Source organism: Homo sapiens, chromosome 5 (genome assembly GCF_000001405.40).
Source record: "Homo sapiens chromosome 5, GRCh38.p14 Primary Assembly".
In the NCBI taxonomy this organism is placed as follows: Eukaryota; Metazoa; Chordata; class Mammalia; order Primates; family Hominidae; genus Homo; species Homo sapiens.
The window spans coordinates 10,492,118-10,504,702 of NC_000005.10; the positions used below are offsets into that span (position 1 = coordinate 10,492,118).

A 12,585-nucleotide genomic window follows, 5' to 3' on the forward strand; every position below is an offset into this window, starting at 1 on the left:
ACTGCTAAACGTCCTGCAGGGCAGAGGCTAGTGCCACCGCAGAGAATGATCCAGTGCAAATGTCGCTGGTGCTGAGAATCCTACTTCAGACCCAGGGCAAGACTGATTGCATGTGTTCATTTATATCTGCTCTTGTAGTCATTCAGTCAAGAAATGAGCACCTTGAATGACTATTAAATCAAGACAGGTTGGGTGTGGTGGCTCACACCTGCAATCCCAGCACTTTGGGAGGCCGAGGCAGGTGGATCACTTGAGGTTAGGAGTTTGAGACCACCCTGGCCAACATGGCGAAACCCTGTCTCTACTAAAAATACAAAAATTAGCAGGGCATGGTGGTGCATGCTTGTGATCCCAGCTAATTGGAAGGCTGGCGCACGATAATCACTTGAACCTGGGAGGAAGAGGTTGCAATGAGCAGAGATTGCACCGCTGTACTCCAGGGTGACAGAGCAAGACTGTCTAAAAAAAATCAAGACAGATCTCTGAGACTCCACAGGTCAATGGAAGATGAACAGAGGGGCGGTGGGGCTGCCCCCCACCCATGTGGGAGGCATGGGCAATGCCTAGGTTGACCAGCTGCCCATGCTCTGAGGCAGTAGTCTCAGGGCAGGGTGTGCACCCTCCCAGGCAGGGCAGCACTCACTTATGGTACAGAAGGAATCTTAGAGCTTCCCTTACTCAGGAATGAAATGAGCTCTAGCCCCTGCCATCACCTTTTGCTCAACACTCACCCACTCCAGGCTTCAAAAGGAGGCTGCCCACATGGACAGCTCAGAGGGACTCCAGGGCACGTGGTTGATGGAGAAGCCAGATGCAGAGTGGTTCACTTGGGGGTGCAGTTCAGGAAGCCACGGGGTGGGTGTGAGGGTGTAGTGGAGCGTATCAGTGCAAGGATACCCTGAGACTGGGGGTGACATTGACTCCACAGGCACGGGAAGGAGCTTGGAAACAGACTGAACTCAGAACATGCATGTCACGAGGGGAGGGGCTGGAGGCTTGGGGTTGGGAGAGGCTGCCTCCACTGCTGAGGGCACAACTTCCTGGTTCAGCCCCGGCAGGCCTGCAGATCCCCCTGCATCCTTTCCCTGAAGATGGGCCATCTGTGCCTAGACAGGTTGGCATGTGTATTAGATTCTTAGGGCTGCCACAGCAAAGAACCACAGACTGGGGGGCTTAAATAACACAAGTGTATTTTCTCACAGTCTAGGAGGCTGGAATTGCAAGGAGCTCAGGGTGTCAGCAGGGCTGGTTTCTCCTGAGGCCCCTCTCCTTGGCTTGCAGGTGGCCGCCTTCCCATGGTGTCCTCACATGGCCTCTCCTCTGATGTGCCTTCCTCTTCTTAGAAGGATACCAGTCCTATTGGATTAGGGTCTGCCCTAAATAACTCATTAGGACATAATTACCTCTTTAAAGATCTTAACTCCAAATATAGTTTTATTCCGGGGTTCTGGGGGTTAGAGCTTCAACATGTTGATTTTGGGGGACACACTTCATCCCATAACAGTGTGGGCTGCCATTCTCCACTGGCCCTCTATCCTGGAGACACACCTCCTAGAGAGTTTCCTACAACATGCAGGACATCTAGTTAAATTTGATTAAATTGTATTTCAAATGCTGCATGGGATACACTTACCCAAAAAATTATCATTGATCTGAAATTTACATTTAACCCAGCATTCTATATTTCTAGCTGCTGAGTCTGGCACCTCTACCCACTGGGAAACCTCCTACTCATGGCTCCTTACCTGGGCTGCCTTGGTCTGGGACGGACACAGAAAGGTGGAGGGTGGAATTGGTGTCTGGAGGAGCAGCTGGTATCTGGGAATCCATCAAGGGCCCTGGCCTCATGGCTCTTTCAGGACAACCTATAGAAGCCACTGAGATGCTGGGGTGGCCTGTGGTTTGATAGAAACCGCAGCATCTATTTAGGTGAATCCTGGAGGTACTTCCTGTTTCTCTTCCAGTTTTCACATCTCTGTAGAATGGGAAATGTCACACAATAACGAACCACTAACAAATGATCCAATTTCCAGTTGCAGAAAACACATGACGTCATGCACATCATGGTGTTGAAAATATGGGTGCCCAATCCCTTACCCACAATTCTGAAATCCAAAACACTCTGGGAACATTTTTTATGTGTAAATTTGAAGACAAAACCCATTTGGGGATAAAATTGATTTGAATGGACTTGGGACTATTTATAGACTTTCTTTATCCATTGGTGAGAATAGTGATACTGTGTTTTCTGGGGGGCACTGTCCAGACATGTGGGGGGTTGTAGGAGATTGGTCAGGGTGGTGGGAAAAATTGTAGAAAGAATGCAAACCTTCCTGGAAGGCCAGGAGGTTTTACAAAAGCTTTGGAAAAGGATTTGGGCTGAAGGCAGCCAGATTCTCTTATCTGGTACCTGAAAGCTTAGGTTAGATAACAAGGGGATGTAAAGAAACTGATCTAGATAAGTTAGTTTACTTAGGCCTCGGAACCTGGCCTTTAATCGCCTGTGTGCAGGACTGCTCTCTCTGGGGGAGTGACCATGTAAATTACCCACAAGTGTGTTGACTCAAGGCCTTTGTCATTAAATCTGTACTAAATAAATGCCCGCAGTGCCAGCTTGTCAGGGCCGTGGCTGCTGACTCTTTACAGCACCCTCCTCAGTGTCTGTGAGCGGCCTGGTCCCCTAGCCCACTCTTTCACTGGATACCTGTGTCTGAGTGCATGTGTTCATCTGTTGTTCGGCCAGGATCTGCAGGCCAGACCCAGCAGTGGGTAGTAAGTGATATTCAGGATATGTCCTGTATTACCAGCCTACAGCTCCCCAAACTCGAATGCCAAAAACCCACAGCTTTCTGGATAAATGATTGTGCAGCTACAACAGCAGACAGGCACCGAGCTCTTAAACTGTGGGAGGCACAATGCTAAATGCTTTAGGTTTCTTATCTCTTTAATCCTCATAATCTGCAAAATGGATACTTTTATTTGCATTTTTGGTAAGCTGTTTTTGTGTTGAAGTATGACATGCCCACAGAAAAGCCCACGAATCAGGTGCCCAGCTGGAAGAATTATTAGAAAGTGAGTCCACACCCATGACACCACCCAGCGCCATCTCTCAGCAGCGCCCCAGAGGCTCCCACCACAGCCTGCCGCCATCATTACCTCCCAGATTCTCACTTTCATCACCAAAGATTCATTCTGCCTAGAAAAAAAAAATGCTGTCATTTATTGAGCAGTTATTATGTGCCAGGAACTTATATTATTTCTCACATTGACTCTATCAGGGTGAGTATTCTATTTTTTTTTTTTTTTTGAGATGGAGTTTTGTTTTTGTCACCCAGGCTGGAGTACACTGGCGTGATCTCGGCTCACTGCAACTTCCGCCTCCCGGGTTCAAGCGATTCTCCTGCCTCAGCCTCCCGAGTAGCTGGGACTACAGGCACATGACACCACACCTGATGAATTTTTTTTTTTTTTTGAGACAGAGTCTCACTCTTCACTCTGTCACCCAGGCTGCAGTGCAGTGGTGCGATCTTGGCTCACTGCAACCTCTGCCTCCTGGGTTCAAGTGATTTTCCTGCCTCAGCCTCCCAAGTAGCTGGGACTACAGGCTCGTGCCATCATGCCCAGCTAATGTTTTGTATTTTTTTTTTTTTTTTTAGTAGAGACAGGGTTTCACCACATTGGCTAGGCTGGTCTCAAACTCCTGACCTCAGGTGGTCCACCCGCCTCAGTCTCCCAAAGTGCTGAGATTACAGGTGTGAGCCACCATGCCCGGCCAGGGTGAGTATTCTTATTATTTCATTTTACAAGCAAAAAGAAGCCAGAGCTGAGAGCTGTTATGTCATGTTCTATTCTATATCATATTATGCATCTTATCATGTTATGTATCATAACCTCAGCTCAGGGAATTTTCGCAGACAGAACACACTCTGCTAACTAGCACCCAGATCAAGGAACAGAATATTAGAAGCAGCAGAGAAACTGCCCCCTCAATCCCACAGCCCCCCAAGTCGCTATCCCCTCCCAAAGGTAAGCACTATTCTGACTCCTGACACCTTTTGCCTGTTTTTGAACTGCCTGTCAATGGAACGAAATGGTCTATTCTTTTTGGTGCCTGATTTTCTCTCAGCATGATGTTCATTAAGCCCATCCACATTGCCACGTGAGGCTGGAGTTTGCTCTTTTTTAGTGCTGAGTAGAATTCCACCATTATTTAAGCACACCTCTATTTATTCACCCATTTTCCCCTTGCAGGATGGAGGTTAGAAATGTTTTCACTTTTTAGCAATCACCAGCAGTGCTGCTCTCTAAATTCTTGCATGTCTTTTGGCGGACAAACACACACGTTTCTGTTTAGCATATGTGTTGGGGCGGATTGGGGGGCATCACAATAGTGTGTGTGTGTGTCTGTTTAGCTTTTCAAAAACTTCCAAGCTGGCCAGGCATGGTGGCTCACCCCTGTAATCCCAACACTTTGGGAGGCCGAGGCAGGCAGATCACTTGAGGCCGGGACTTTAAGACGAGCCTGGACAACATGGTGAAACTCCATCTCTAACAAAAATACAAAAAAAAAATCCGCCAGGTATGGTGGTGCATGCCTCTAATCCCAGCTACTCAGGAGGCTGAGGAATGAGAATCACTTGAACCTGGGAGGAGGAGGTTGCAGTTAGTGGAGATCATGCCACTGCACTCTAGCCTGGGTGGCAGAGCGAGACTCCATCTCAAAACAAACAAACAAACAAACAGGCCATGTGAAGATGAAAGCAAAGATCAGGGTGCTGCCTCTACAAACCAAGGAACCCCAGGTTTTCCCTGCCAACACCAGAAGTTAGAGGAGAGGCCTGGCAGATTTGCTCTCACAGCCTCAGTAGGAACCAACCCTGCGGACACCTTGCTCTTGGACTAACAGCCTGCAGAGCTCCGAGGTGAGGCACTTCTGTGGTTTAAGCCCCTCTGCTCATGACACTTTGTTACTGCAGCTCCAGCATACTCCTCCACGGAGTGATGCTTCATGTTTAAAAAGACATCTGCTCTGTAAAGAACACTCATCTGGCCGGGCGCAGTGGCTCACACCTGTAATCCCAGCACTTTGGGAGGCTGAGACAGGCGGATTACCTGAGGTCAGAAGTTTGAGACTAGCCTGGCCAACATGGTGAAACCCCATCTCTACTAAAAATAAAATTAAAAAATTAGCAGGGCATAGTGGCAGGCACCTGTAATCCCAGCTACTCGGGAGGCTGAGGCGTGAGAATCACTTGAACCCAGGAGGTGAGGTTGCAGTGAGCTGAGATTGCACCACTGCACTCCAGCCTGGGAGACAGAGTGAGACTCTGTCTCAAAACAAAACAAAACAAAACAAAACAAAACAAAACAAAACAAAACACTCATCCTAGTGTTCCTTGAGGTGGTCTGATTAGCAGCTAATGGGTTTACAACAGCTTTCCCTTTTCAAATTTGATTTCAGAAGCCATCAGCTGCATGATTTGTTGTATGTCTGAATGCTTGAAGTGAAGGTTGATAGTTGATAGGAGCTGGCTGATTCTGGTCTATAAGTGTGGCTGGGCTGACAAACAGGCATCCACCTACTTGGGCTGGGTCCCGGGAGCAGCCTCAGGAATTGAGATTCCTGCATCTGCCTTCATGGTCTTTATCTTCCAGGCCTCCCTCTCCCTGTCATGGCTCAGGCGGGGACCACGGCAGAGGGTGGGCCACACCATCTTTCAAGGGCAGCTGGGCCCCTTCTGGCAGCTGGACGAACCTTATTCGGTGCAGTGGCTCATGCTTGTAATCCCAGCACTTTGGGAGGCCAAAGTGGGTGGATCACTTGAGGTCAGGAGTTCAAGACCAGCCTGGCCAACATGGTAAAACCCCATCTCTACTAAAAATACAAAAATTAGCCAGGCATGGTGGTGCATGCCTGTGGTTCCAGCCACTCGGGAGGCTGAGGCACGAGAATCGTTTGAACCCGGGAGGCGGAGGTTGCAGTGAGCCGTGATCCATCACTGTACTCCCACCTGGGTGACAGAGCCAGATTCCGTCTCAAAAATAAAGAATGCTGTTCTTCCTGGGCAGAGAGTTTCTCTGTTCTGGAGGTCATCCAGTAGCCCGGCCCCAAGGTGATCTCTCTGGATGGGTGAGGGGAGGAGGGGTCTCCTCCAGCTGGAAGCATCGAATCAGGACTAGCACTTCCTAAGAGCACGTGGCCCAGAACTGGGCTAAAAATAGTACAATTTTTAAAAATTACACTAAGCTTTGATTTCAGAGTGTATTGGTTTCCTGGGGCTGCTGTAACCAAGTGCCACAAACTGGGTGGCTTAAGACAACACACATTTATTCTCTCACAGTTCTGAAGGCCAGAAATCCCGAAGCAAGGTGCTGGCTGGGCCATCCTCTCTCCCAAGGCTCCCCGGAAGAAGCTGCTCTTGCGTCCCCTCATTCTGATAGTCACAGCGCCCCTGGTGTCTTTAGTTTGGAGCTCCAATGTCTGCCTCTGTTTTCACGTGGCCTTTTCCCCATGTGTCTGTGTCTCTGTGTCCAAATTTCTCTCTTTTTTTAGGACACCAATCACTAGATAAGGGCCGACCCTCCTCCAGCATGACTTCATCTAAATTTGACTGCATTCACAAAGACCCTATTTCCACGTAAGGGCTCACTCTGGGATTCCGGTGGACATACATTTTGGAAAGACACTGTTCAACCCAATATAGAGTCTTTCCTGTTTTGAAGTAAGTTTTTGCTAAATTCAATTTTAGAATGCCTTCCTCCACTTCCTTGAGCTTGGATAGTTTAGAAATTTGAAAATTTGCCTGTTAGGGTAATCTCCGTATCTTAACATAATGTAAGTTTATTTTGGTCACGTGAAGTTCAAAATGAGTGATCTTGAGGGGCAGTTGGTGTCCATCTAAGCAGTGATTTGGGGGCCTGAGCTCCTTCTATGTGGGATGCCCCAATCTTCCATGTGGGAACCCTCCAAACTTCCATGTGGGTCCCAAGGTCCCTATGCTCCCCTGTCTCAAGCTGAAGGGGAAGAGCATGGCGTGTGGGGAGCCAGGCCAGGAAGTACTGCTCATCCTGTCCATGCGTATTCACTGGGCCAGAATTCAGCTACAGGCCACAGTGAAGCCAGGAGGGGTAGGCTGGCCGTGCACCCAGGAAGCAGAGGAAGGGGTTGGGGAAGAGCCGCAGCTGAGGCTGGCGAGTCAGGATGGCGCCTGGAGGGCAGCTCCTCCTAGGACTCATTTCCCTTTGCTTTCCCCCCTTCTTCCGCCTCTCCACCTTGCTAGCCCTGGCGGGTCTCTAGTCAAGAGGGTCAGTTTCCAAACCTCATGGCACGAGACCCTTCCCCACTGACATGCAAACAGCAAAGGAGCACCTCCCATTTAAGGGGAGACTGAATGATCAAATGCTAAAGGAATACATCTTTGGGGGTGCTGTGAACGCCCTCAGTGAATCTGGGTGATCCAGCCTGGTGGATTGTGGGGGCCCTGAAGGTGCGCTTCTCACTAAACCTCCCTCTATGCCCACTAGGAGCCCACTGCATCTCAGAGCAGGGGATGGAACAGTTCCCCTGGGGCGGGGCTGGTGCTTAGGAAGCTGGGCCCAGGTATCCTGGACGGAGTGCTTGGAGTCTTGTCTGAACAGGATCCTCAGGCTGTGCCACACAGTCCCAGGGCAGATTACACTTGACACCTGCCCCCTCACTGGCCACTTCACCTTGCCAGTGGTTTTCAAACTGCCAGGCAAGGCCAGTTGAAACCAGTGCTTAAAAATAAAACAGGGCAGGGTACAGTGGCTCATGCCTGTAATCACAAGAATTTGGGAGGATCCCTTAAGCTCAGGAGTTGGAGACCAGCTGGCAACATAGTGAGACTTTGTCTCTACTAAGAGAAAAAAAATTAGCTGGGCGTGGCAGTGGGTGCCTGGAGTCCCAGCTACTTGGGAGGCTGAGGTGGGAGGATTGCTAGCCCAGGAGGTTGAGGCTGCAGTGAGCCGAGATTGCACCACTGCATCCAAACTGGGTAATAGACTGAGACCCTGTCTGAAAACACACACACACACACACACACACACACACACACACACACACAAAACCTACTAGAAAAATACCAGGTACATAGAACACAGTGAGAGAAAGTACTGTGTCATTAAATCTTGATTCCATGTTTATATGTATATTTTCTGGGTTGTGATATAAAACATTTCTTTCCAAGTGAGGCAATCAAAAACTGAAAGCTGGCCAGGCACAGTGGCTCACCCCTCTAATCTCAGCACTTTGGGAGACCAAGATGGGAGGACTGCTTGGGGCCAGGGGTTCCAAACCATTCTGGACAACATAGTGAGACCCTCATTCTATAAAAAATTAGTTTAAAAAATTAATTTAAAAAATTAGCCAAGTGTGGTGGCATGCACCTACAGTCCCAGCTACTTGGGAGGCTGAGGTGGGAGGATCACCTGAGCCCAGGAGGTTGAGGCTGCAGTGAGCTATGATCATGCTACTGCACCCCAGCCTGGGCAACAGAGTGAGAAAGATCCTGTCTCAAAAAAACAAACCAAACCAAAGAAATTTGAAAGCCACTGTCCTATGTGGAAGAATTTGGAAGTCAATGATAACACAGGGAGGTAGTAATTATTTTCCAGGTTTCAGAAGTGCTTGTGGGTCCCGATAGGAGAGATGCTGTGATGGTGTGAGGTCAAGGAGGACTCTGGGCTGGGTTGAATCGGGGCTGTACCACTTCCCTCAGGAGGTCCTTGTGAGGGCGACTCCATTGCCTGGGCCTCCACTTTTCATCTGTAAAATGGGCTAAATATCTACCTTGATGGGGAGGAGGAGGATGAAATAGCTCCTCACTCTTGAATGCTCCCTGTCCTAGGATTTGTTCTGAGTCTTTTATGTATATTACATCAGTCTTTCTTCACAATATCCCTCTGGTTAAGTGCTAGTACCATTAGTTTATCAGTACAGGTAAGGACACTAAGACACGGAGAGGTGAAGTCACCTGCCCAAGTGAGCTGATGTCAATGAAAATCTGTATCATGCCAAATACTGTGTCTGGCACATAGCAAGCACAGAGCAAATTTTAATTTTCTTACCCTTAATTTTGTTTCAATCGCTTTAAAGGATCCTCAGATATAGGCAGACAAACAAGCTGGTGGAAGATGTGTGAGAAGCACACTTCAAACTGCCAGGAAGCTGGCTTCTATGGAGTCCCAAAGTGTGAAATTAGCTCCTCTTCTGTGAGGGTCCCTGGAAACAGTGGCTGCTCCCTGCAGGAGGCAGAGTCCCTGCAAGCCCTACTCTTCAGCATCAGAGGAACTGCAAGGGAAGTCAAAGAAAGGGGACCCTCCCCTCCAGCCCTTAGGGGAAGACTCATCGATGGTTTCAGGGAGGAAAGAGAATGATGGGCCTGGCTCACAGTACACTACCTTCTTGCTGGATTTTAAAGATTAGAGGCCCAGGAACCCCCAGCCCTACTCCACACCCTGCAATACAGATCAGCTTCAAGGGGTCTCCACCTCCCCTGCCCACGATGGCCGGCCCCACTCCTCCAGTAGAGACTGTGGGCCCCACTGTCTGGAGGCCAAGGGAGAACAGAGCTGCTTCTCCCTGGGGGAGATCAGACAAGTAATTAGACCAAACTGCAAGAGGCAGCTATGTCATTGCTTCTCAGAAATGATAAACAGCGCAAAGAGAGGATTGCATCACTTCTTCCCAGGGTCGCTGGGACATTTGCTCTCAGAGTCCAAGCTGGGTCGCATTTTAATCAGAGGGGGGCTGTGGACTGATTCCCTGCCGAGTGCAGAAATGTTTCATCAGCAATTAGTATGAGCACTCCAAAAGGAAGCTACACGTTCTCCTTGCCTTGTTCCCACGTTTGCTTGTTCCAAGTCGTGTCTTTATACTATCTTAACTATATAATGTCATTTATGCCATATTTTAAAATAGTTGTCTTCTTATAGAACCCATGACTTTGTTTGACTTCATTAACAAAACTTAGTAATTTACCTTGCACAGAGCCTGCCCATATGGGATATGAAATTAGTATTTGCAGAATAAAAAGATGTTGATGACAATAATAATACACATAATGACATAATAATATTAAAGTAAAAGCTAACTTGCGGGGGCCCTCTCTTCTGCCTCCTGTCTGAAGAGGGCTGCCTCTGCAGTGAGCCTGGACGTGGGACTACTGCACACATGACCCTGCGGACATCAGGCCGGGAGCAGGTGGAGGCGGGTGGCGGAGGAAGTGGTAGAGGAGGAGAGGCCAGGAGCTCCCTGAGCCAGCGCTCCCACAGAAGGAAGTTCATCAGAAAATCACAGAGGGCCTGGGACCCAAGGTCCCCCATCCCTCACCCCACCCACCCCATCAGAGGTTTGTTCCCGAGTACCTGTGTTTTAAAGTGCCCAGATGGCCTCCAGCTGCCCACTCTAGCACTTACAAGTTTGGAGTCCAGGGTCCCCAGACCGTGGGGTGGCAGTGACCACACTGGCCTCCTGAAGTGGGCAGGTCAGAGGATCCCAGGCCTGGCTGCTCAGAGTGCTGTCTGCCAGCTGGGGGTGACATTCCTGTCCTGGCTGTGACTGTCCCCTCAGCTTCCGCCTTATTCACCCCTGATGGGAGGCAGAGGTGGAGCCAGGAGAGCTCTGCTCATGACTGTGCTCCAGGAGGCTCCACCTCCGTGTGCACCCAGAAGGCCCACAGGAGAGATGTTGTAGCCTGCAAAGCACTACTGCCTGCACGACTGCACGGCCGGCTCCACAGGCTCCTCGGAAACGACAGCAGGAGCAAAGATGAGGGCTACAGTGCCAGGTGAACACCTGGGAGCCGTCTGTGTCCATCTCTGAGTTCTATTCGTTTGCTAAGGCTGACCTAAGAAAGTGCCACATACTGGGAGGCTTATAGCACACAGGTGATTTTCTCACTGTCCTGGAGACTGGATGTCCAAGGTGTGCAGGCTGGTTTCTCCGAAGGCCTCTCTCCCTGGCTGCAGGTGGCCGCCTTCCTGCTGCATCCACCCTCGGCCTTTCCTCTGTGCAACAGCGTGCCTGCGGTCTCTTCCTCTTCATATAAGGACCCCAGTCCTAGTGGATTATGGCCTACCCTAATAGCCTCATTTAACCCCCATTCCCTCCTTAAAGGTACTGTCTCCAAATACAGTCACATTGGGGGTTAGGGCTCCAGCGTATGAATTTGGGGGGACACCATTCAGTACACAGCAGGAGGAAAATCACTTTCACAGTCACACAGCACTTCCAAGCTGTGTGTGTTGCCTTACGTGTCCAGCACCATGCGTGAAGTATTGTCGCAGCTGTTTTCGTTAGGATGTGTGGGAAGAGCACATCTGTCATCAGTTCCAGCCCCCAGTGACCAAGAACACGTCCCTTTGGCTCTGCCTCTGGCTCACACTGGACTGGGACTAGAGCTCACAGCTGCAGGTGCCAGGCCTGAGGGCTGCAGGCTTGCTGCCAGGCCCAGGGCATGGGCTATCCATCCCATATTCCACCCAGGTGCAGACAGACCAACATGAGTACCCAGGAGAGCTGCAACCCCTGGGCGCCACCGAGACCCCCTCTCAGCCTGGCCCCCTCCATTCTTTCACTTGAGTAATGCAGGTTCTCTAGGTGCTATATACAGTGCTTTGCAAACTCAGCTTCCAGCTTTGTGCAAAGAGACCCTTGTGAAGGGGGTCCTTAGACTACCTTTGGGTTTGGCAACTCGCTAGTAGGACTCACAGCACTAAGAAAGGCTATTAGATTTGTGCTTACACTTTGAAAATACAGATTTAAATTAGCAAAGGAAAAAGGAACATAGAGCGGAGTCCAGGAGAAACTCGCACAAGCTTCTGGTGTCCTTGCCCTGCGGGGCTGAACGGATAGCGTTTATTTTCCCCAGCAACGATGTTTCACGGCACACTTGAGGTGTTAGCCACCATGAAAGCTTACCTATGCACTGGTGTTCAGGGTTTTCATTGGGGTCAGTCACATAGGCATGCAGTGCCCATGTGACTGACCTCGGCTACTTGGACCTCAGCCCAACAGAGGTGAAATTAATAGAGCATGGCCCAGAGCCTCGGGCACGTGTGAACAGGCTTTCATCATAAATCACACTGTTGGCATAAACTAAGGATGTGGCCCAAGGCCTCAGATACACAAAGCCACCCTTATCAGGAGGGACACTCCAAGGACTCAGGGGTCATCTCTTCGGAGCTGATCAAGGCTGTATGCAGGGTTTGGTCAACTCAGATCTGCTGAGTCACCCTTGACATCACAGCTGACATCCCTAAGTCTCTTTGGCTGGGACATGTGGGAGCTGCTGCTGTCAGTGTCAGAGGCTTTCAATTTGATTCATGTTTGACAGTATGATTTGGGAGAAATTATATATTTTATCCTAATTTTCATTTATTTCATTATCAGTGAAGCAGAACAACTCTCTACGTGTTTTATTGCCATTTGAATTTCTTGTGTACTTTGTCTAGTCATTTGTTCATACATATGTTGAGTTATTTACATTTTTATAATTTATAGGAGCCCTTATGAATTGTGCACATAAGCTCTTTGTCATATGTGGCAAATACGCTTCTACTATT

General features: G+C 49.4%; 1 long non-coding RNA gene across 1 annotated transcript, besides 1 other annotated feature; it reads right to left on the bottom strand.

Moving 5' to 3' along the window:
- Window positions 1-1,409: 1,409 nt before the first annotated feature.
- LINC02212 (long intergenic non-protein coding RNA 2212) lies at window positions 1,410-10,611 on the bottom strand. The gene is made up of 3 exons (NR_104606.1): window positions 9,088-10,611; window positions 3,157-3,196; window positions 1,410-1,975 (listed from the first exon to the last, which is right to left on the bottom strand). It is a non-coding gene; the product is annotated as a long intergenic non-protein coding RNA 2212 (long non-coding RNA).
- Window positions 11,032-11,926: an enhancer, noted in NCBI's record as "H3K4me1 hESC enhancer chr5:10503261-10504155 (GRCh37/hg19 assembly coordinates)". NCBI's record gives its function as "activates a minimal SCP1, AML or CMV promoter by ChIP-STARR-seq in naive H9 embryonic stem cells {active_cell/tissue: H9 hESC(naive)}" and the evidence as "EXISTENCE:reporter gene assay evidence [ECO:0000049][PMID:30033119]".